The sequence below is a fragment of the Homo sapiens genome, chromosome 18 (genome assembly GCF_000001405.40).
Source record: "Homo sapiens chromosome 18, GRCh38.p14 Primary Assembly".
In the NCBI taxonomy this organism is placed as follows: domain Eukaryota; kingdom Metazoa; phylum Chordata; class Mammalia; order Primates; family Hominidae; genus Homo; species Homo sapiens.
In genome coordinates this window covers 23,547,567-23,569,538 of record NC_000018.10, presented here as the reverse complement: position 1 = coordinate 23,569,538, position 21,972 = coordinate 23,547,567, and the positions used below count along the sequence as shown (strand labels likewise).

Below are 21,972 nucleotides of genomic sequence, written 5' to 3'. Positions count from 1 at the left end.
ACCATCCTGGGCAACACAGACCCACATCTCTACAAAAACATTTTAAAAATTAGCCAGGTGTGGTGGTGTGCACCTGTAGTCCTAGCTACTTGGGAGGCTGAGGTGGGAGGATTGCTTGAGCCTAGGAGCTCAAGGTTACAGTGAGCTGTGATCACACCACTGCACTCAGCCTGGGCGACAAAGTGAGACCCTTTCTCAAAAAATAATAATAATTGTCTTCCTGATGCTCCAAAGTCCCTTTACTCTAGGTCAGAGAATGTATGTCTCTAAATTATAAAGTGCAGAATTCAGAGAAGCATCTCTCTCTTTTTGAAATTATAATTGGACACAATAAATGCAGAAAGTAATTAGGGCATTTTTTAAAGGTGTGCCTTTATTTTAACATGAAGTTTTAAGTTTAGAATTGCTGGTTTTTAATATGTTCTCTTGGTAATTTGTCACTTTACAGTAAGTTTAAAATATTCTTTGTCTATTTAAAATCGTTCTTGCTGGCCCTATTATGTGTGAGATCATGCAGAATATAATTTACTTTTCCTTTAGATGTCCATCCTGTTTTTATAACCTACTGAACCTGTTTTGTGAGCTGACATGTAGCCCTCGACAGAGTCAGTTTTTGAATGTTACAGCTACTGAAGATTATGTTGATCCTGTTACAAACCAGACGAAAACAAATGTGAAAGAGTTACAATACTACGTCGGACAGAGTTTTGCCAATGGTAAGTAAACTTTTAATTATTCCTCTTTTACAGCTGGCATCAGGACAGCAGAGCAAATTGTTCCTTTTAGTTGTCCTGTCAACTCTGGAAAATCACAATTTTCAGTTCCATTGGCCAGGAAATAAGAGTTGTTGCTTTGCTTGTATCCTAGGACTTGAACTGCAACGAATATAAAAATCTCCTTAAAGCGCTTGCTTTAACTCCCCCTAACTTTAACTTCCCACATGGAAAATTTTAGTATGTGCAAGTTTGCATCCATACACTTCAGTAACCATTGGATCTTTGACTCTAACAGACATGAGTTGTGTAATGTCATAAATTACTGCAAGACTGAGAAGATAGAACTGTTAATAGTTGGCAGAGAAGAGGTCATGACTTGCAAGAATCAGATCACCATAAAGGAAAGTCAGCAGGTCTAACAGATAGCAGAAATGATCCCCCAGCATTGACCAACATACAACATTTAATTATAATGACAAAGTAAAAAGGTAACAAAAAAATTCCATAGAAAAAAGGTCTCATTCACAAAAGCAACAAAAAATAAGGCACTTAGGAATCCAAAAGATGTGACATACAAGGCAACCTGACTGAATGGAGAGAGGTCATTTTGTCCAGAAACAGAAGCCTGCATGTATGGAAAGTGGATGTGTAACACGTGTGTCATTACAAATCATTGAGAGAAAAGGTGGGCTAGTTGATAAATGAGATGAGAAAATAGATTATATTTATCTAATTTTAATTTTTACAGAAAATAAAAAAATCAATTGTGTAGATTAAAAATCCCAATTGGAAAGTTTTAGAAGTAAATATGGAAAGATTTCTAGACAGGAGAGGAAAAGCAGAAACCATAAGAAAAATATTTATGAATATAAACAACTGTTATCTAGAGCAGACAGCGAAATGCAAATTTGAACAGTAAACTACCATTTCACACCTCATCAGCTTGGCACAAATTAAAAAGTTGGTCAATTTCAACTGTGGGTGAAAATGTGAAGCAATAGGAATACTAATGTACTCCACCACTTACAACCATAATTTGGTACAATCGTTTCAAAACTACTTGAAAAACAACTTTGCAGTACGTAGTAAGTTGAAGCTAACCCTCCTCCCAGAAATTTCACTTATAGATGCCTGCCTTAGAGAAACTCTAAATGCATATAAACCTGGAGACCCATATAAGAACACCCACTGTAACACTATTGTGATTGTGAAAAATTGAAGACCTCAAGAACGAGAAGACAAGACACAGACTGGGAGAAAGTATTTGCAAAAGACATGTTAGTAAGGACTGTTATTCAAAATATACAAATAACTCCTAAAACTCAATAAGAAAGCAAACAGCCCAATTGAAAAATGGACAAAACAACCTGAACAGATACCTCACCAAAGAAGGCATACAGTGGTAAATAAGTACATGAGAAGAGATGCTCAACATTATGTCATTAGAGAATTACAAATTAAAACAACGAGATACCACTACACATCTATTAGAATGGCAAAAATTCAAGACGCTTTCAACACCAAATGCTGGCAATGAGCTCTCATTCATTGATGGTGGGAGTACAAAACGGTACAGCCACCTTGGAAGATAATTTAGCGGTTTCTTACAAAACTAATCATACTCCTTGGTATTTACCCAAATGAGTTAAAAATGTGTCTACCCCAAAACCTGCACGTGGATATTTGTAGCAGCTTTGTCCATAAGTGCCAAAACTTGTAAGCCACCAAGATTTCTCTCAGTAGGTGAATGGGTAAATAAACTGCTACATCCACACAGTGGAATATTATTTGGTGCTAAAAAGCCATGAAAATTCAGTGCTATCAAGCCATGAAAGTACATGGATGAACCTTAAATCCTATTACTAAGCAAAGCCAATCTGAAAAGACTACTCACTATGATTCCACTATATGACGTTCTACAAAAGGCAAAACCGTGGAGACAGTAAAAAGTCAGTGATTGCCATGGGTTAGGAGAGAGGAAGGCATAAGTAGAGCACAGAAGATTTTTAGGTGGTGAAAATACTCTATATGATACTATAATGGTGGTTACATGTTTATATGACATTTTGAAACAAAAGTACTACATACTTAAAACAAGTACACAAACATGCATGGGAAGGATAAACATCAAATTCAGGATTGTGTTTACCTTAGGGAAGGGGCTACTGTCAGGGAGGGGTAATTGGGGAGCTTCAACTGAATCTATAGAGTGTGTGTGTGTGTGTAAGTATTTTATTTTTTGGAAGAGACGGGCCTCACTGTGTTGGTGAGGCTGGTCTTGAACTCCTGGCCTTAAGTGATCCTCCTGCCTCGGCCTGCCAAAGTGTTGGGACTGTAGGTGTGAGCCACCACACCTGGCCTATAGTGCATTATTATTTTTATTTAGTTTTTAAATTATGCCATAGCCAGTTGTTCTGAATAGTGCAGTACTACAAAACAGAGTCAAGGTCTCATGCTGTCACCCAGGCTGGAATACAGTGATGCAATCATGGCTCACTGCAGCCTCAACCTCCTAGGTTCAAGTAGTCCCCCTGGGTAGTTGGAACCACAGGCATATGCTACCACACCTAGCTAATTAAAAACAAATTTTTTTTTGTAGAGATAGGGTCTTGCTTTTTTGCCCAGGCTGGCCTCAAACTCCTGGCCTCAGGAGATCTTCCCACAGTGCTGGGATTACAGGTGTGAGTCACTGCACCTGGCCGAGTCCATTATTTTTTTAATGTTGAGGCAAATGTTGTGAAATGGTATGACTGATAGTTAACTGGGTAATGAGGAAATGAGAATTGTATTATTCTCCATGTGTTTTGTATGCTTGAAACATAAAATAAAACCTGAAAACCAAATGGTGAGCTGGAAGATACGAGGGAATTACTCAGAAAACAGCATACAGATACAAAGACCTATAAATCATTAAAGAAATGACATATAACATGAGAAGCTCCAGAGAGTTGGGGAGAGACAATAATAATCAAAGGGATAATGAGGATTTTCCAGAGTGGATAAGGGATGAACCCTGAGAACTTAGAGAAAATTCAGCATACAAAAATCAGTTGTATTTCTGTACACTTGCAATGGACAATCTCAAAGTGAAAATAAAACAATTCCATTTACTTTAGTATGGGAAATACTTAGGAGTAACTATAACAGAAGGCAAAACACTTTAAAGAACAGCCGGGTGCAGTGGCTCACACCTGTAATCCAAGCACTTTGGAAGGCCGAGGCAGGCAGATCACAAGGTCAAGAGATTGAGATCATCCTGGCCAACATGGTGAAACCCCATCTCTACTAAAAATATAAAAATTAGCTGGGCGTGGTGGCGCTCGCTTGTAATGCCAGCTACTTGGGAGGCTGAGGCATGAGAATCACTTGAACCTGGGACGCGGTGGTTGCAGGAGCTGAAATTGTGCCACTGCACTCCAGCCTGGCTGACAGAGCGAGACTCCATCTCAAAAAAAGAAAAACAGAAAAAACACACTAAAGAACATTATTCAGCGAAATTAACGAGGATCTAAATAAATGGAAAGACATTCCATGTTTATCAATCAAAAGACTTAATATTGTTTAGATATCAGTATTCTCCAAATTGTTTTATAGATTCAGGGCAATCTCTGTTATAATCCCAACTGACTTCTTTGTGGAAATTGACAAGCTGATTCTGAAATTCACATAGAAGTTTGAGGGACTTAGAATAGTAAAACAACCCTGAAAAAAGAACAAAATAGGAAGACTCACACTTCTCAGTTTCAAAACTAAGCAATGGAAATCAAGACAGTGGTACTGGAATAAAGATAGACATATAGATCAATGGAATATAACTGAGAATAAATAATATATCTATGGTCAACTGATTTTTGACAAGGGTGCCAGGGCCATTCAATGAGAAAAGAATACTCTTCATCAAATGGTGCTGCAATAACTGGATACACACATGCAAAAATAAATAAATAATAATGAAATTGGGCCCTACTTCACACCATATGTTAAAGAAATTAACTCAAAGTGGATCGAAGACCTAAATGTAAGAGCTAAAAACTATAAAACAATAAAACATAGGGATTAATTTGCATGGCCTCATATTTGGCACTTGATTCTTAAATATGACACCAAAAACAAGAGCAATAACAGAAGAAAAGATTAATTGGACTTCATTAAAATAAAAAAGTTTGTATTTCAGAGGACGCCATCAAGAAAAGACAAGAAGGCCGGGCACAGTGACTCACACCTGTTATCCCAGCAGTTCGGGTGGCTGAGGCAGGAGGATTGCTTGAGCCCGGGAGTTCAAGACCAGCCTGGGTGACAAAGTGAGACCCTGTGTCTACAAAAAATAATTAGCCAGGCATGGTGGCATGTACCTGTGGTCCCAGCCACATGGTTATCTGAGGCAGGAAGATTGCTTGAGCCTAAGGAGGCTGCACTAAGTACCTCGCACTCCAGCCTGGGTGACAGAGTGAGACTCTGTCTCAAAAAAAAGGACAAGAATATATTTGCAAATTGTATATTTGATAAGGGACTTGTATCTAGAATACATAAAGAACTCTTGGCCGGGCGCTGTGGCTCATGCCTGTAATCCCAGCACTTTGGGGGGCCAAGGCGGGTGGATCACCTGAGGTCAGGAGTTCGAGACCAGCCTGGCCAACATGGTGAAACCCTGTCTCTACTAAAATAGAAAAATTAGCCAGGTGTGGTGATGTGCGCCTGTAATCCCAGCTACTCAGGAGGCTGAGGCAGGAGAATTGCTTCAGCCTGGGAAGTGGAGGTTGCAGTGAGCTGAGATCACACCATTGGACTCCAGCCTGAGGGACAGAGACTCCATCTCCAAAAAAAAAAAAAAAAAACTCTTACTACTCAATGATAAATAAATAACCCAATTTAAAATGGCAAAAGATCTGAATAGAGTAGACATTTCTCTAAGGAAGATATACAAATGACCAACAAGCACATGAGAGATGCTCAATACTATGAGTCATCAGGGAAATACAAATCAAAACCACAATGAGATACCACTTCACACCCACCAGGATGGCTAGAATCAAAGTCACATAACAAGAAGTGTTGACAAGGCTGTGGAAAATAGGAACCTTTATTAAAAAGAAATCCAAAAACCAAAAACAGCTGGGCACAGTGGCTCATGCCTATAATCCAGCACTTCGGACGGCCAAGGCAGGTGGATCACCTTAGCTCAGGAGTTTGAGACCAGCCTGGGCAGCATGGTGAAACTCCATCTCTACAAAAACTTAGCTGGGTATGGTGGTGCACATCTGTAGTCCCAGCTACTTGAGAGGCTGAAGTGGGAGGATCACTTGAGCCTGAGGGGCAGAGGTTGCCAGTGAGCTGAGATCACACCACTGCACTCCAATCTGTGTGACAGAGTGAGACCCCACTTTGGAAAACAGTTTGGCAGTTCCTGAAACAAACATAGAACTACCATATGACCCATCAGTTCCACTCACAAGACGAAAGTATAGGTCAACACAAAAACTTATACACAAATGCTTCTAGCAGCATTACTGATAATAGCCAAACTGTGGAAACAACTCAGATATTTATCACCTGATATATGGATAAACAAAACATATGTCCTTGCAATGAAATGTTGTTCGGCCGTAAAAAGAAATGAAGTATTGATACATGCCACAATATGCATGAACCTTGAGAACATTATGCTAAATGAAAGAAGCCGGTCATGAAAGACCACATATTATATGATTGGATTTATGTGAACTGTCTGAAATAGTCAGATAAATAGAGACAGTTCAGTGGTTGCTTAGGGCTTAGGGAAGTAGGGAGGTAGTTGTGCATAGCTAGAATACAGGATTTCTTTTGAGGTGATGAAAATGTTATAAAATTGACTATGGTGATAGTTGCATATATCTATGAATATGCTAAACTCCATTAAATTATATAGTTTAAGGGGGTAAATTGTAAATTACATGTAATTATATTGTAAATTATATAGCGCCACCACACCTGGCTAATTTTTTTTTATTTTTTTATTTTTTGTAGAGACGGGGTTTTGCCATATTGCCCAGGCTGGTCTGGACCTCCTGAGCTCTGGCAGTCCACCCACCAGGGCCTCCCAAATTACTGGGATTAAAGGTGTGCATAACCACCCCTGGCCCAAAGACAAATATCTTAAAAGCAAATAGAGACAAGACACAAATCACCTTAAGACAATGATAATTGGAGATTTTCTTACCAGCCATGATAGAGCCTGGAAGGCAATGGAATAATCTGTTGAGAATTCTGAGGGAGATGACTGTCACCCTAGTTAACCTGTCTTTCCAGAACAAGGGTAAAACAAAATGAATGTGTAAGCATCTCCTTGAAGATTAGGGAAAGAAGATCCTGGGAAGTTTCTAGCAAGCAGAGACTGGTAAATGAGAATCGACAGTACAGGACCCATTCCAGCTATTTTCTTAGGTGTAATACACTGATACTATCCTTATATAATGTGTTGTGTGTATGTGTAAGAAAATAAAATCCAAAAAGATAACAGTATTAGGGGTTTTTTTTGTTTTTTTTTTTTGTTTTTTTGTGATGGAGTCTTGCTCTGTCACCCACGCTGGAGTGCAGTGGCGCAATCTTGGCTCACTTCAAGCTCTGCCTCCCGGGTTCATGCCATTCTCCCGCCTCAGCCTCCCGAGTAGCTGGGACTACAGGCGTCCGCCACCACGCCCGGCTAATTTTTTGTATTTTCAGTAGAGATGGGGTTTCACTGTGTTAGCCAGGTTGGTCTCCATCTCCTGACCTGGTGGTCCGCCCACCTCGGCCTCCCAGAGTGCTGGAATTACAGGTGTGAGCCACCGTGCCCGGCCAACAGTATTAGGTTTATTGACACGTGACCTCTGCTCTAAAACCAGTTTTCCAAGTAAGTTCCATAATTCTCTGGCTGTGTAGCTTCCTGCGGCAGAGGTTTTCTGGAACCAGCTTTGTTAACTGAAGAAGTACTGAGGCTCTTAGCTGCGTCTTCCTGGGCCTTGGTATACTCTTCTATATAGTGGGGATTTGACTTCTCCAAGCTGTTGTGAGAGCTATGAGATAACGTGTGCCTTTCCCTTTCCTGTCTGTTTTTTACTTTTAAGTTACTTGGAATCGGGCCTCCATATTATTTGCAGGGTGATAAGCCAATTTAAAGGGAATCTCTGTTCGTGCCCTTAGTTAGTGTTTGCTGTCCAGCATTCCAGCATGGTGCATATGGAGTTCGTGTTTCCCTTCAAGAGGCCTTTTGTAAGATCTTGCCTCGTGAATTACAGCAAGCATCTTGTCTCCTTTTTCCTTTGGGTTTCCTCTTCTAGCAATGTACAATGCCTGCCGGGATGTGGAGGCCCCCTCAAGTAATGACAAGGCCCTGGGACTCCTGTGTGGGAAGGACGCTGACGCCTGTAATGCCACCAACTGGATTGAATACATGTTCAATAAGGACAATGGACAGGCACCTTTTACCATCACTCCTGTGTTTTCAGGTAGGTATAAAGATTCCAAGTTTGGTGTGTTTATGATATTGTTTTAAAGCCAAGGAACTGGCTGGGCACAGTGGCTCACCAGTGCTTGGGGAGACTGAGGCAAGAGAATTGCTTAAGACCAGGAGTTCCAGACCAGCCTGGGCAATGTAGTGAGGCCCCATCTCTATGAAAGAATTAAACATTAGCCAGGTGTGGTGGCATGCATCTGTAGTCCCAGCTACTTGGGAGGCTGAGGCAGGAGGATTGCGTGGGTCCAGGAGTTCAAGGCTGCAGTGAGTTACGATCATCCCATTGTACTCCAACCTTGGTGAGGGCAAAGCCCTGTCTCTCCATGAATGAATGAATGAATCTTAGTTGAGGAAGCATAATCTACAATAGGAAGATAAACACATTCAGGTAACTAGTTCATAGTTTCTCCCAGTAAGAGAGGTAACTGGTACATTTATCCTGCTGTGGCTAATTTAGGGGGTGCTGGGAGTGGGAATGGAGGAGGAAATGAATTGCCTTCAGGCATTGCTGTCATAATTGAAAGAATAAGCAGTTAAAAAGGGGGTGGGAGGCAGCTTTTCTAGAGCTCTGCTATAGTATTAGCTCCTGAGAATGGAGATGGGACATGATTGAAGGGTTGCCTTGGTATGTGGTGTACTTGGAGGATTCCTCTATCAGTGACAAACCCCTACGCGCAAGTTTATTGAGGTAACTTAAAATTCCATAGGACGAAGCAGCAAAACATAATTTAATTAAACTAAAACCTCCAATTCTTTTTCTTCTTTCAGTTGTTTTATGTATTTCAGTGGGCTTTTCTTTGAGTTTAAGTATAATACAAAATTTTGGATGTTTTTAATTGAGATTTGTACTCAACACAATTCCTTTCTGTAGATTTTCCAGTCCATGGGATGGAGCCCATGAACAATGCCACCAAAGGCTGTGACGAGTCTGTGGATGAGGTCACAGCACCATGTAGCTGCCAAGACTGCTCTATTGTCTGTGGCCCCAAGCCCCAGCCCCCACCTCCTCCTGCTCCCTGGACGATCCTTGGCTTGGACGCCATGTATGTCATCATGTGGATCACCTACATGGCGTTTTTGCTTGTGTTTTTTGGAGCATTTTTTGCAGTGTGGTGCTACAGGTAAGCAGTTTTGTTTGTCATCCAGGGCAAAAAGAGCAAAATTGCCCACTGGCACTTTGAGCTTTCATTTGTCAGAGCTTGGTTACTTAGGACAAGAAACAAATACCTCCATGAATACCATTGCATGGATTATTGTGTCCTACAGCTATTCTATAGTAAACCATCAAAGTTCTGTTTAACACTGCAACATCTGAAATGAATTTTACTGATTTATTCAAAATGATGTGTGATTTAAAGCACTGTGCATTAGCCACTGATTCTTTTTTTTTTTGGAGACTGAGTCTCACTCTTGTCGCCCAGGCTGAAGTGCAGTGGTGTGATCTCAGCTCACTGCAACCTCCACCTCCCAGGTTTAAGCAATTCCCCTGCATCAGCCTCCTGAGTAGCTGGGATTACAGGCATCCGCCACCATGCCTGCATGCCTGACTAATTTTTGTATTTTTAGTAGAGACGGGGTTTCACCGTGTTGGCCAGGCTGATCTCCAACTCCTGACCTCAGGTGATCTGCCCGCCTTGGCCTCCCAGAGTGCTGGGATTACAGGAGTAAGCCACCGTGCCCAGCCGGCCACTCATTCTTTAGAAAGTCAGAGTCAAGGCCAGGCTCAGTGGCTCACACCTGTAATCCCAGCACTTTAGGAGGCCAAGGCAGGAGAATCATGAGGTCAGGAGTCCATTGCAAACAGCCCTGGCGACAGTGCGAGACTGTGTCTCACCAAAAAAAAAAAAAAAAAAAAAAAAGTCAGAGTCAAATGAGCGAAATCAGATTCAAATCTAATTAAATGGAGTACTATAGTCCTTTTAGATATTTGCATCTTAATTTAGGACAGTACTTTTTTTACTTTTTATTTTGAAATAATTGTAGACTTAACCAAAAAGTTGCAAAATGGTAGAATTTATGTGTATCCTTAACCCAGTTTCCCCGATGATACAACTTACATAACTCATAGTACATCTAGAACTAGAAATACCATTTGACCCAGCCATCCCATTACTGGGTATATACCCAAAGGATTATAAATCATGCTGCTATAAAGACACATGCACACGTATGTTTATAGCGGCACTATTCACAATAGCAAAGACTTGGAACCAACCTAAATGTCCAACAACGATAGACTGGATTAAGAAAATGTGGCACATACACACCATGGAATACTCTGCAGCCATAAAAAATGATGAGTTCATGTCCTTTGTAGGGACTTGGATGAAACTGGAAACCATCATTCTCAGCAAAATATCGCAAGGACAAAAAACCAAACACCGCATGTTCTCACTCATAGGTGGGAATTGAACAATGAGAACACATGGACACAGGAAGGGGAACGTCACACACCGGGGACTGTTGTGGGGTGGGGGCCTGGGGGAGGGATAGCATTAGGAGATATACCTAATGCTAAATGACGAGTTAATGGGTACAACACATCAACATGGCACACGTACACATACGTAACAAACCTGCACGTTGTGCACATGCACCCTAAAACTTAAAGTATAATAATAATTAAAAAAAAAACTCATAGTACAATGATCAAAACCACGACCATGCCATTATTATTACATTATTATTAGCTAAACCAGAGATCTTAATCAGATTTCACCAGCTTTTTCTCTAATGCCCTTCCCTGTTTCAAGGTCCCATATTACATTTTTGTGTTTTATGAGTCCCCTCTAATCTGTGACAGAAAGTTCCTCAGTCTTTCCTTTTCTGGCCTTAACACTCTTGATGATACTGGTCAGGTATTTTGTAGCATGTCCTTCCATTTGGCTTTATCTGGTATTTTCTCATGATGAGATTGAAATAAGGTGTTTTGACAAGTACATCACAGAAGTCATGTTATGTCTTTCTCGGTGCATCATGTCAGGGATCCCTGATGTTGATGCGTCTCTTTCCTGGTGATGTTAACCTTGATCACTTGCTCAAGGTGATGTCTGCTGGCTATCTCCACTGTGAAGTTACTGCTTTTCCCTTCGTAATTGATAAATATCTTGGGGGAAGATGCTTTGAGACTATACTAATATTTTGTTCCTCCTGAAACTCAACCACTGATTTTAGCATTCATTGTTGGGTCTTGTCTGCAACAGTTATAACTAAGGTGTTTGCCTGATAGTGATTTTTTTCTCTTTCCCTCTCTTCCTCTGCATTTACTAACTGGACTTCTGTACAGAAAGCTATCCCTTCTCCCTCATTTATTTACTCAGTTATTTACATCATGGACTTTTAATTCTGTGGGTTGTATCCAACACTGTCATTTATCTTGTTACTCAAAGTTTTCCACTTTGGGCCATTGGGAGTGCCTTCTGGCTGGCTTCTGTGTTCTTACATACACCTCCCATCCCCAGCTTTATCTTACATATTCCCTGTCCCTGCCCTGCAAGGAGCTCTGGTTCCTTTTATTGGAGAATGGTATGTAGAAACGAAGATCTGGGCACTAGGTATGCTCATTGCTGCTGGAAAGAGTAGCATGTTTTTGTTTGTTTGTTTGTTTTTTTGAGATGGAGTCTTGCTCTGTCACCAGGCTGGAATGCAGTGGCGCGATCTCAGCTCACTGCAACCACCGCCTCCCTGGTTCAAGCAGTTCTCCTGCCTCAGCCTCCCAAGGCACGTGCCACCACACCCAGCTAACCTTTTTGTATTTTTAGTAGAGACAGGGTTTCACCATGTTGGCCAGGTTGGTCTCGATCTCTTGACCTCGTGATCCCGCCCACCTTGGCCTCCCAAAGTGCTGGGTTTACAGGCGTGAGCCACCGCGCCTAGCCCAGTAGTGTGTTTTTAAAGGACCTAAAAGTTTTAAATAAAATGAGGGCCACAAGGTGAAATTATCCTTTATTAATTGTTCTCTTAACATCTTCTTAAATTTTCTCCTGAGACTGGTGAGCAGAGGGACCCAGAGCAAGGGGACTTAGGGGAAAGAAGGCAGTAATTAGGGAGGAGGAGGCCAGGAGGAGGAAGAAAGCATTTCATGGGATTACAGGAATGTCCCAAAAACAACCTCACTGTGATGAAGTCCACTAATGCTATTTCTTCACTTCTGTTTTTCAGAAAACGGTATTTTGTCTCCGAGTACACTCCCATCGATAGCAATATAGCTTTTTCTGTTAATGCAAGTGACAAAGGTAGGCATATTTGTCCATGAATAAAAGGGTTCAGATGATGCTGTCTGTCATGAGAGCATTCGTTTCCTCAGTGGGGTTGCAGCAGTGGGTGAGGTGGTGTGCCAGTGCCGAGGACACGGCTGCGACCAAGGCAGACATGGTCCTTGCCTTTGTGGCCCTACCATCTAGTCAGGGTGGCACAGCAGAACCAAGTAATTAATCATAGCTGGGGAGGCGCGAAAGCAGCAGGACAAGAGTGGGAATAGCAGGGCAGGGTTGAACCTCACCCTTCAGAGGCTCCTGTGTCGGCATCTCCTCTGTGGGGTGGGAATAGCGCTCATTGAGGGCAGCCAACAAAGGTGGCTTTGCTGAGCAGATAGGTAGCTGAGGGCAGGGGTCTCATATGTGTCCCCAGGTGGGCTTGATTCCTGCCATGAGATAGCAACTAATGCTTTCCCTGTTCCGACTTTCAGGAACGGCTTGGCTCTTAACCTCCACCTTCCCTTCCTCTCCCGTTCTTCCAGGAGAGGCGTCCTGCTGTGACCCTGTCAGCGCAGCATTTGAGGGCTGCTTGAGGCGGCTGTTCACACGCTGGGGGTCTTTCTGCGTCCGAAACCCTGGCTGTGTCATTTTCTTCTCGCTGGTCTTCATTACTGCGTGTTCGTCAGGCCTGGTGTTTGTCCGGGTCACAACCAATCCAGTTGACCTCTGGTCAGCCCCCAGCAGCCAGGCTCGCCTGGAAAAAGAGTACTTTGACCAGCACTTTGGGCCTTTCTTCCGGACGGAGCAGCTCATCATCCGGGCCCCTCTCACTGACAAACACATTTACCAGCCATACCCTTCGGGAGCTGATGTACCCTTTGGACCTCCGCTTGACATACAGATACTGCACCAGGTAACCTGCTGTTTGAAGAAATAAGTCACTCTAGATGACCTTGTGGTTTGCTGGCTTTTACATGTTGACTACTGCTAGATGGGGATTTGGGGCTGAATGTCATGGTATATCTTGAAAATCTTAGCGTATAATGGCAAAGCTGCCTTTAAGTTAGGTTTCAAGAAAGTGAATGATGTTGAACTTAATGGAATATTTATTGTTGCTCACTTTTGTATTTACTTCAGATAGTAGACCTTGCCTTTTTCTTGAAATTGAGATGAGCAGAGAAAGAAGACTTCAGTGGCGTTTCTCTATTGAGGCAGGATATATTTATTAGGAAGTCACCTTAGGAATTTGTGAAATGTTTTCTGTTGGTAACTGAAAGTAATATGCAAGGACCCAGAGGCATGAAGCCCTTACTGCTGTCCTGGGGGCTGAGGAAGGAGCTGCCAGATTACCATCCCTGATCCAACCTGTAGGAATGAACTTATCACTCACTGCCTGAACATGGGCACCCAGCCTGTTTTTGGTGAGAGGCGCATTTGGGGCAAGATCCATCCCATTGCTCCTAGAAAGGCATGTAAACCTTCCCATTGTCCCTGTCACACTTGCCTTGGAGAACTGTACCTGTGCATAAACTGTACCGGCTTCTTTTTTAATGAATGTATAATCACATGGTTTTTCCTTTAAACATTGCTCATGTCTACAAGAAAGTCTGCAATCTTGAAAAGCATTAAAATGGTCCCAAGACTTGAATCTTTTCTCTACCCAGTGACTGTCTGTTGCTTTTTCCAGCTTGTTGCTGAAGGTGAACAGCATAGTCATTTACCTCCAAGATCATCTTCTCTGTTAGGAAATAAGGGGACATATATAAATGGCTGTAGTGCAGAGCAAGGCAGGAGGTTATGTGTTACTATTGAGAGGAGGGTCAGGGAGACCAGGAGTCCCCCTCCACTCTCCCCTCTGGCCTGCTGGCCACCACTGGAGAACGGTGGAGGGGAGATGGTTGTGTGTCCTATGTTGATAGCTGTTCTGGTCATGGTGTTCCCCCTACCCCTCGCCGCCTCTGTGGACGCCTCTAACTAGTTTGCTGTTAGAGTGGGCCTGTGGCCTGACCAGTTTTCTTACTGTATTGCATCTTAATTCTCTCCCTCATCTTAGGAAGTATTTTCCCCAAATACTCTTTGTCTTCTGACCCTCAGGGCAATGCTGATTAATCAAGATCTGAGAGAAATGTGACGTGTTTCTGGGTTTGCTTATTTTTAAAATCTTCTTTCAGGTTCTTGACTTACAAATAGCCATCGAAAACATTACTGCCTCTTATGACAATGAGACTGTGACACTTCAAGACATCTGCTTGGCCCCTCTTTCACCGTATAACACGAACTGCACCATTTTGAGTGTGTTAAATTACTTCCAGAACAGCCATTCCGTGCTGGACCACAAGAAAGGGGACGACTTCTTTGTGTATGCCGATTACCACACGCACTTTCTGTACTGCGTACGGTAAGTGGCAAGAGACAATCATTGGTAGACACCATTCTTGGGTCTGACTTAGGGTACATGGGCAAAAGCTTGTTTTATGAGCATAACCCAGAGGTGAGCAAACAACAAGACCTTGCCCTGTGAAGTTTACATCATCTTTTTTTTTTTTTTTTGAGACAGGGTCTCGCTCTGTCGCCCAGGCTGGAGTGCAGTGGCGCAATCTTGGCTCACTGTAACCTCCGGCTCCCAAGTTCAAGCGATTCTCATACCTCAGCCTCCTGAGTAGCTAGGACTACAGGTGTGTGCCACCACGCCCAGCTAATTTTTGTATTTTCAGTAGAGATGGGGTTTCGCCATGTTGGCCAGGCTGGTCTCAATCTCCTGACCTCAGGCGATCCGCCCACCTCGGCCTCCCAAAGTGCTGGGATTACAGGCGTGAGCTTCCATGCCCAGCTGGAAGCTTACATCTTAATGGAGGGAGACGGTTGATGAACACATAACATGTGCTATCGTGCCAGCTAGAGATTAGTGCTATGAGGAGAAAAATAAGGCTGGACAGAGTGGGGGGTGCATTGCTTAAGCGTGGAGATGTGCACAAAGGGAGAGGAAAGGACAGCTGGGCACATCACAGGGATGAGAGTTCCCGGCAGAACCAGCAGCAAGTGCAGAGCCCTGGCAGGAAGCTCTCGTGGTGTGTGATTGAGGAGTGCAGCTGCCTCTCACCCTTTACCTCGTGCCTGGGTCGCTAACACAGTGTCATGTATCACACCCCCCACAAGATTTAAAGATAGAAGAGCCTTTGGTGCCTTTTGTTCTGTCTCAGATATATAGCCCAGTCCCCTGTAGTGCCCCAGCTATTTGGGAGGCAGCCTCCCTCTGAGGAGTTGAGGCAGTATAGGTCTGCAGCTCCGCAGCTTTAGATTGGAGGGCCCTGCAGCTGCTTCCCTTAGGAGGCATGTCTAGCTGGGCAGGGTGCGTTTATAATTGGGAATAGTCACCCCAGGAAGCGGTGCTTTGGTGACCTGTAGGGGAATCTTAAGGCTTCTCCCAGTAGGGGAAGAGTAGCATGATGCCGGATGGGCCTACTCTCCCTGAATGCTAGGGACCTGGCCTAGGGACATTTGTTCAGCCAGTTGAGCAACCACAGTGGCTATTTCTTCAGCATGGGAACAGAGAAATTATTCCTTTTTGCCTTTAAGGACACTGCTCAGCCGACTACTTCTCAAGAGCTAAGGACTCTCACTTCTGGTTCTAAAGAACTTTGACCTTGAGTTCTGTTTGTTTGTTACTGGAGTAAGACTTTTTATGCAGTTGGGCTATATTTACTCTGTTTCAAGAATATCACCCCTAAAAACATGAGTTATACTCATGAAAACACAATAGCTTATGCTCCATACCCTAAACCGGCATTCTCCACAGGGTAGACGGTGCAGACGAGCCATGGGTAATTTGAAGAAACAAAAAACATTTAATGTTACATAATTTTTATAATTGGACAACCATTTAATGTTACATAAATTTTATAGTTTACTCTCTGTGGCACAAGATAAAAGTCAACAAAAATGATGGGGGACAGAGGTGCGTGAGCCTTGTGTTTCCTCAAAGCGGACGTGGTTCCCACCAGTGTGGAAGCGGTACAGGGAGTGGCAGGCTCCTGGTGGCAGGGACCTGAATTGGTTTGTAGTTATGCTTGTGCGCGTCCTCATAACCCCAGTCTCGCCCTAGCGCTGTCCCCTTTCCTCTCCCTCCAGCTTTTCCTGGACTTTTTCACCTGAGGGTCCTGCAGTAATGGCAGGTGGCCTGCCCAGAACCATGCCCTTACCTGCTTCTTCTCCCCATTTTGTTTAAAGGCAGTGACAGCTACCAGTTACTCAGGCTTGAGGCTTTATCCCTGAATTCTGCCTCGCCCTCGCCTTCCTCATGGGGTTCTTACGGGTCTGAGCCTCTGGATGCTCTCTCAGATTTCTGCTGTGGATGAAGGGACTCAGCTGCTCGCTGCAGGTCACCTGACCTCCCTCATGCCGTCACCCATCCACTCTGACGGGTGGGTCATATGCAGAAGCTTCTCAGCACCTGGCCAAGTTGTAGCTGATGGTCTGTCCGAAAATGCTGGTTCACTCTCCACTGGCCAACTGTCTGTCTGCACTGCACTGCCAGTTGCCTCTTGCCTGCGCCATTGCGCTAACATCTCCACTTACTGTTCCACCTGCTTCCTGTTTCTTTGCCGTTTCCAGACCTTCCACTTTGCCACGCAAGCTATCTTTGTAAAACAGCTCATGACATTTCTTTCCCGGAAATCTCTAATTGTTCCCCAGTGCCTCCAGAATAAAAATCCAAACTACTTAACTGGCACTGAGTCCTTTTATTTTGCATTTGTCTGTCCATTACTCTTCCCAGACTGGCCCCCTCCTTCAGGAGCCCCCTTGGTGGGCACCCCATGCTCTAGGACAGGACATCTTTTCTTTGAATTATTATTATTTTTTTTTTAGAGATGGGATCTTGCTATGTTGTCCAGGCTGGACTCAAACTCCTGGGTTATAGCCATCCTTCTGCCTCAGCTTCCTGAGTACTTGAGATTAGGCGTGCCACCATACCCGGCATACAGGACTTGCCAAACCACCATCTTGCTCTCATTCCCTCTCACTGTTCTCTCTCCCTCCCTTTTTCCTCCCACAGTTGTAATTGTGTGAGACACCCTTTTGTCCTCCCTCTTTGGTGAAATCCCCCTCATCCTCGGAGCTCTGGGTCTGTACAGTCTCTTCCTCTTGGCTATAATTTTGCCTTTTAGTGTTTGCTCCCTCCTCTGTGCCTGCATAGCGCCATGCACCATGTGCCATTGATGGCACTGGGCTGTATTTGCCTGCCTCTTGCCCAGTGATTCTGAGCTCCCAAAGGTGAGTGCTGAGCTGTATTACTCAACTGAGAAACCTCAGGGCCCATGTTGTCCTTAGAATACAGCCAGCCTCATCAAATGTTCACTGTGTAAATGTTTAGGTCCCTGATGTCTTGAGGCCCTTCTAACTGGGAGGTGTTTTCTAAACTTTTTGGCAGGGCTCCTGCCTCTCTGAATGATACAAGTTTGCTCCATGACCCTTGTCTGGGTACGTTTGGTGGACCAGTGTTCCCGTGGCTTGTGTTGGGAGGCTATGATGGTAAGTAAGAGAAGCTTTGACTTTTCCTTTTAGATAAAGTCATCTCGGTTTTGTCATTAGCATCAAGTGGTAATTATGAAGATTTCATAAATTGGGCAGTTTTGTTAATTTCTTACCTCTTGAATCCCAGAATAGTATCTCCTTTGGCTTTGGGTTTGGGTTTCATTCCAGATTTAAAAGAAGTGGATTGGGTTAGCCATTTTTAGGTCACACATGCCTTTGAGAAGCTGTCGAAGGCTAAGTACCTTTCCCCAGAATAATGCAATTGCAAACCTCTGCATTGTTGTTCAGCTTGAAGGTCATGGGCCTCCGAAGTTCATTTATAGACCCTCTAGGGAGCTCATGGACCTCAGGTAAGAGCCTCTGTGATAGAGAAAAGATAGTATGTGAGGTATGTGGAAAAAGAAACAAAGTTGATGGATTTTTTTTCTTCTAAGCCAGTCAGTTGAGTATTTGGACACTCTTACAGTGTGAAGAGCAGCTGGTTTGCTCTTTCCTGGTTCCTGTAGCACTTTAGAACCAATTGTACTTGACAAAATGAGGTGATTATTCATGTGACACCTTTGGCATCTTAAGCCAAATTACAGGCTCAACAGGTTTTGCCCAACCAGTTAAGAATCCAGATAGGTTTTCTTCTCCTCACTTGGTGGCAGGGGAGAAGTTGCAATCTGTATTTAAAATTTACTGTGCATCAGAGAGGAAAATGCCATTTCTAATTGTTGGAGAAGGGATGGTGTCAGCAACTGACTAGCCATAGGGGAAACAATTGACTTTGATCTCTGACTTGTTCATTTCACCAAAATAAATTCCAGATGGATAAAAGATTGAAATGTAAGAACTGGGCCAGGCGTGGTGGCTCACGCCTGTAATCCCAGCACTTTCGGAGGCCGAGGCGGGTGGATCACAAGGTCAGGAGATCGAGACCATCCTGGCTAACACAGTGAAACCCTATCTCTGCTAAAAATATTCTTTAAAAAATTAGCTGGGTGTGGTGGCAGGTGCCTGTGGTCCCAGCTACTCGGGAGGCTGAGGCAGGAGAGTGGTGTGAACCCGGGAGGCAGAGCTTGCAGTGAGCCAAGATCAAGTCACTGCACTCCAGCCTGGGCGACAGAGTGAGACTCCATCTCAAAAAAAAAAAAAAAAAAAAGAAATGTAAGAACTGGAAGAAAATTCAGGAGGCATTTTTAAAAATAATTTTTAAGTGGAAAAGATATTTCTAAGCAAGACACAAAACTCAGAAGCCCGAAAAGGAAAGACTGATGAAGTTGAGTACATGTTCATTTGTGGAGAACAAACATACAGTTAAAAAAACAAAACTGGGCCGAGAGTTATTCATGCCTGTAATCCCAGCAATTTGGGAGGCAGAGGCGAGCACATCACTTGAGCTAGGAGTTTGAGACCAGCCTGAGCAACATGGAGAAACCCCGTCTCTGCAAAAAATACAAAAATTAGCTGGGCATGGTGGTGCATGCTTGTAGTCCCAGCTACTCGGGAGGCTGAGGTGGGAGGATCACTTGAGCCCAGGAGGTTGAGGCTGCAGTAAGCGAGATTGCACCACATTCCAGCCTGGGTGACAGAGCGAGACCTTGCCAGAAAAAAAAAAAAACTGGACAAAAATATTAGTATGCATGGCAGTCAGCATTTTCTTAATAAATAAAGATCTCATCTCAGCCTGGCCAAAATGTGAAACCCTGTCTCTACTGAAAATACAAAAAAAATTAGCCACACGTGGTGGTGTGTGCCTGTAGTCCCAGCTACTCGGGAGACTGAGGCAGGAGAATCACTTGAATCCTGGAGGTGGAGTTTGCAGTGAGCCAAGATCATTCCATTGCACTCCAGCCTGGGCGACAAGAGCAAGACTCCGTCTTAAAAAAAAAAAAAAAAGTTGTGAAAAAAAGATCAACAACCTGAAAGAAAAGTGGGTGAGGTCATGTGAAAGATAACAAAAGAAGAAATACAAAAAAAAAAGGTTTTTATTTTATTTTTCAGAGACAGAGTCTTGCTCTGTTGTCCAGGCTGGAGTGCGGTGGTGTGATCTCGGCTCACTGCAACCCCTGCCTCCCAGGTTCGAGCAATTCTTCTGCCTCCACCTCCTGAGTAGCTGGGATTACAGGCATGTATCACCAGGCCCAGCTAATTTCTTGTATTTTTAGTAGAGACACGGTTTTGCCTTGTTGCCCAGACTGGTCTTGAACTCCTGACCTAAGGTGATCCACCCACCTTGGCCTCCCAAAGTGCTGGGATCATAGGCATGAGCCACCACGCCCAGCCTCAGTAAATATTTTCTTGACTAAAGTAATGAAAAGGGAGGCCAAGGCAGGAGGATTGCTTGAGCCTGAGAAGTCAAGGCTTCAGTAAACCATGATTGTGCCACTGCACTCCAGCCAGGGCAACAGAGTGAGATCCTGTCTCTAAAAAAGAAGAAAAAAAGGAATGAAAAATAGTTAAGCTTCTTTGGAAGGCAGTTTGGGAGAATTTATCAAAATTGGAAATATACATAGTTTTTGATTCATTGATTATGCTTTAAGAATTGATTCTAGCCAGGTGCAGTGGCTCATGCCTATAATCCCAGCACTTTGGGAGGGCAAAGCAGGAGGATTGCTTGAGCCCAGTAGTTCAAGTCCAGCCTGGGCAACATGACAAAATCCCATCTCTACATAAATACAAAAATTAGCCAGCAATGGTGGTGCACACCTTTAGTCCCAGCTACTGGGAGGCTGAGGCAGGAGGATTAATTGAGTTCGGGTGGTCAAGGCCACAAAAAGCCGCGATTGCACCACTGTACTTCAGCCTGGGCAACAGAACAAGACACTGTCCCCCTGTCAGGCCCCCACCCCAAAAAAAGAAAAAAGATTTATTTCTACAAGTATGTGTTTTACACATTAAAATATTTATAGGCTATTTATAGTAACTTTGTAATAGAAAAAATTGCAAAACTACTCATCAGTTGGGGGGGATTGGCTAAAGTATACCAGAAAATACTGTAGGAAAAGAATAAGGAAACTCTTTATGGAGCAGTCTCCAAGATACAAAATTTTAAAATGTAATGTGCAGAATAGTATTTTACTGTTTGTGTGGTTAAGAGGGAAAGGGGAAGAATCTGTGTGTTTGCTTGTGTGTGTGTGGAGTGGCTCTGGAAAGATTCGCAGATGGTCACAGTATGGGGAGGAGAACTAAGACAATGAAACAGATGTTGGAGAAGGAGAGAATTTTCGATAAACACTTTTCTGTTCTGTTTGAAATTGTTAACATGCATGTACTGTATCCTTTAAAAAAAAAAAAAAAAAGAGTTACTCTTCCTGAATGATAACCATGCCTACCTCAGATAAAAAATCCTTTTTATTCATTAACTGAAGTACATAAAGACTATTTCAGCAAACTCTTGTTTAATTCTTAGAGCCCAGAGATACAGTCCATAGCTCCAGTGAGAAATCTGTGTTGTGATTTTTCCCCTGGTATGTGTCTAATTTTCTGCATGCTTGTAATCTGCTTTTTGATGTCACATTTTTCCTTTCTAGATCAAAACTACAATAACGCCACTGCCCTTGTGATTACCTTCCCTGTCAATAATTACTATAATGATACAGAGAAGCTCCAGAGGGCCCAGGCCTGGGAAAAAGAGTGAGTCACTCATGGGTGTGAGCAGACTGTCCTTGCATTGTGGGAAGCTAGACACTTGCGGCAAGCACTTAAACTTCATTTTCTAAATTAACCAATGGCAGATCTGAGTTACGTAGTTTTGTTCACTTGGTACTAATGATGCTAAGAAGAAACTGTAAACACATTTACCTTTGAGCAGGTGCTTTAAACAGCTCTCCCTCCACAGGAATGCAAAAGTGTGCAAAAAAAGGTTCCTTGCATTGTTTTTACTTATTTCATTTATTTTTTGAGACTGGGTTCACTTTTGCCCAGGCTGGGGTGCAGTGACTGAATCTCAGCTCACTGCAGCCTCAACCTCCTAGGCTCAAGTGATCCTCCCACCTCAGCCTCCTGAGTAGCTGAGACTACACGTGCATGCCATCACACCCAGCTAATTTTTGTATTTGTTTGTAGAAACAGG

At 43.3% G+C, this 21,972-nt stretch overlaps 1 protein-coding gene across 10 annotated transcripts in view; it reads left to right on the top strand.

Moving 5' to 3' along the window:
• Positions 1 to 21,972, top strand: part of NPC1 (NPC intracellular cholesterol transporter 1) — an 80,323-nt gene that overhangs the window by 16,968 nt on the left and 41,383 nt on the right. For 5 of the 10 annotated variants that reach the window (XM_005258279.3, XM_017025787.2, XM_047437539.1 and 2 more), the window contains exons 4-11: positions 541 to 716; positions 8,012 to 8,179; positions 9,059 to 9,308; positions 12,349 to 12,422; positions 12,926 to 13,296; positions 14,555 to 14,781; positions 17,812 to 17,912; positions 21,431 to 21,533. In XM_005258279.3, the coding sequence (XP_005258336.1) occupies positions 541 to 716; positions 8,012 to 8,179; positions 9,059 to 9,308; positions 12,349 to 12,422; positions 12,926 to 13,296; positions 14,555 to 14,781; positions 17,812 to 17,912; positions 21,431 to 21,533 (1,470 nt within the window). Of the gene's footprint in view, positions 1 to 540; positions 717 to 8,011; positions 8,180 to 9,058; positions 9,309 to 12,348; positions 12,423 to 12,874; positions 13,297 to 14,554; positions 14,782 to 17,811; positions 17,913 to 21,430; positions 21,534 to 21,972 lie in introns of all 10 variants that reach the window. The other 5 variants (XM_005258277.1, XM_006722479.4, XM_017025785.1 and 2 more) reach the window with 1 other exon arrangement.